The sequence below is a fragment of the Homo sapiens genome, chromosome 8, assembly GCF_000001405.40.
Source record: "Homo sapiens chromosome 8, GRCh38.p14 Primary Assembly".
Lineage (NCBI taxonomy): Eukaryota > Metazoa > Chordata > Mammalia > Primates > Hominidae > Homo > Homo sapiens.
This window is the reverse complement of record NC_000008.11, coordinates 53,381,996-53,385,188: the sequence shown is the minus strand read 5'-3', so window position 1 is coordinate 53,385,188 and position 3,193 is coordinate 53,381,996.

The following is a 3,193-nucleotide window of genomic DNA, read 5'->3' as shown; positions in this document are numbered from 1 at the left end:
TTTATAGCAGCCTTATTCACTATAGCCCCAAACTGGAAACAACCGAAATAGCTATCAATAGGATAATGGATAAACAAATTGAGGTCTATTCATACAATGGAGCAATACTCATCAATAAAGGCTGAGAAGTCTTGACACAGACAAATCTCAAAAACATGATATTGAGCAAAAGGAGCCAGAAAAAAGTGTGCTCTATGTGAACCTATTTATACAACTTCATAGAACAGGCAACATTAATCTACAGTGGCAAAAATCAGAGCAGTGGTTGTGATAGATGCAGGAGGCAGATAAAGGCCTAGGCAGATAGGGAAGAGCCCCCGGAGAAACTTCAACCTTCCCCACAAATATTTACACCAGATGTTTTGTGCAGATAAGGGAAGCTGCACAGGGAGCTTTCCTGGGCATGCCCACAGCAGACTGGAGACCCACATGCACTGGAGGAATGGTGTGGAACCACCAGGAATTCATGCCTTATGCAGGGGAGGAGCCTGGCCTCTTCAACTCATGTGCAATGGCTCTGGTATTAAATCTGGGAGGTGGAAACCTGCTTACAGGACCCCCTTTCTTTGCTGAGATCTTTCTTTTCGCTGAATACATTCCAGCCCTCCTCACCCTTCAATGCGTCTACATGCCTAATTCTTTCTGGTTGTGAGACAAGAACCCAGACTAGCTAAGGAGCAAAAAAATAAAAATAAAAAAAAAATCGTGCATCATTTGCACTTGGTGAGGTGGAATGAGGGATTGGCTAGAAATGACATGGAGAACACTTGTGGGGCCTAAATGCTCTATGCTTATTTCGGGTAGGGTTATATGGGTGTCTATAATTGTTAAAACATATTGAACTGAACACTTACCATCTTGGCATTTACTGTATGTAAATTTTATCTCAATTTTTAAAAAGTTTAATAAAATTTTATTTTAAATTGACAAGCAAAAATTGTACATATTTGTGGGGTACAATGTGATATTTTGCTATATGTTTACAATGTGGAATGATTAAATAATGCTAATTAACATAAATTGCCTCTCATACTTTTCATTTTTTGTGGTGAGAACATTTAAAATCTACTCTCTTAGCAATTTTGAAGTATCTAATACATCATTATTTGTTATAGTCATCGTTCTGTGCAATAGATCACTAAGGCTTATTCCTCCTAACTGAAACTTTGTACCCTTTGACCCACATCTCCCCTTTTCCCATCCATTCCTCTTCCCCAGCCTCTGAAAACCACCATTCTCCTCTCTACTTCTATGAGTTCAACTTTCTTAGATTCCACATATACGTGAGATTATGCAGTATTTGTCTTTCCATGCTTGGCTTATTTCACTTAACATAATGTTCTCTGAGTTCATCAATGTTACAAATGACAGAATTTCCTTCCTTTTAAAGGCTGAATAGTACAAATAGTATTCCATTGTGTACATATATATTTTCATTATCCATTCATCTAAAAATGGACAGCTAGGTTGCTTCTGTATCTTGGCTATTGCGAATAATGCTGCAGTATGTTGGAGTGCAAACACGTCTTTGACATACTGATTTCAATTCCTTTGAATGTATACCCAGGAGTGGTATTGTTGGATTATATGGTAATTATATATATATATATATATATATATATATATATATATATATATATATATATATATTTTTTTTTTTTTTTTTTTTTTTTTTTTTTTGTGAGGAACCTCCATACTGTTTTTCCTGATGGCTGCATCAATTTACATTCCCACCAACAATGCACAAGGATTCCCTTTTCTCCACACCCTTGCCAATACTTGTTATGTTTTGTCTTTTGGATAACAATGATTCATTCTAACATATATAGTTTTGAGTTGCATTTTCCTGTAGTTAGGGATAAACATTTTTTCATATATCTGTTGGTCCATTACATGTCTTCTTTTGAGAAGTATCTATTTGGGTCCTTTGCCCATTTTTTGATTGAGTTATTTGTTTTCTTGCTATTGAGTTTGAGTTCCTCATATATTTTGGATATTAGTCCCTTATCAGATATATGGTTTCCAAACACTTTCTCCCTATCCATGGGTTGTCTCTTCAGTCTATTAATCATTTCCTTTGCTGTGTGGAAGCTTTTACAATCCTGTTTGTGTATTTTTGCTTCTGTTGCCTGTTCTTTTGCCACCTCAATTTGAATAAAGAAAAATATCTATGGAATAATAAAAGCTCTACACAAAGAAAATTATACTAATAAATAATTATACTAAAGAATAAAGAAAAAATGGGAGAATTTTATAGTTATTCTAATAATTTCAAAAAACATCACTAACAGAATAAATCAAAATAAACTAGGAAGAGGGAATTAATAAAGATAAAAGCAGAAATTACTTGACTGGAAAGTAAAAAAAGCAGGTTTTTGGAAAAAAATGCAAATACATGAGCCACTCATAAGTCTGACTGGATAAAAAAGGTAAGAACAAAAATTTTAAGTGTCAAGAATGAGGAAGGAAAAATGGTAAAAGACCAAAAACATTGTAAGCATTTTAGATTCCGCATATAAGTGAGATTATGCAGTAATGAATTCAACTCTATTACATCAAATTATGTACTAAAATTAGATTATTATAAAGCAAATACAATTTTTTCAGAACTGAACCAAAAAATCCAAAACATAGACGAGTTACCAAATAAGTGATCAGAAAGAGGACTAATATTCTATTATTTTAAAAAAGCACTAGGATTAGATAGGCTTAAATGTGAAATTGGTCTAACCATAAAGAACTCTAATATTTGTAAATAATTCAAGATTATAGAAAAAAATGAAAATCATCTAGCCTAATTTTAGTATCAAAACCTGGCAAAGACATTGAAAAGCAGTAATAATAAACCTATTTATAGATGAATATAAATACTAAAAATTGAAAATAAAAGATGTGGAAGCAGAATCCCCAAATTACCAACTGTATAATATTCTAAATCCAAGTATGGTTTATTCTAGGAAGATACATATATGTGTGTGTATATACATCATACACACACATATATATATAATCCTAGAATATATATATCTTATATATTAAGATATATACCTTAATTTATCTTAAATTAATATCTTAATAAAATATTAAATTAACTTAATAATATCTTGAGTTAAGATACACACACACACACACACAATACACATATACATGAGGTGGGAGTCTTGCTATTTTGCCCAGGCTGGAAGACTTGAAC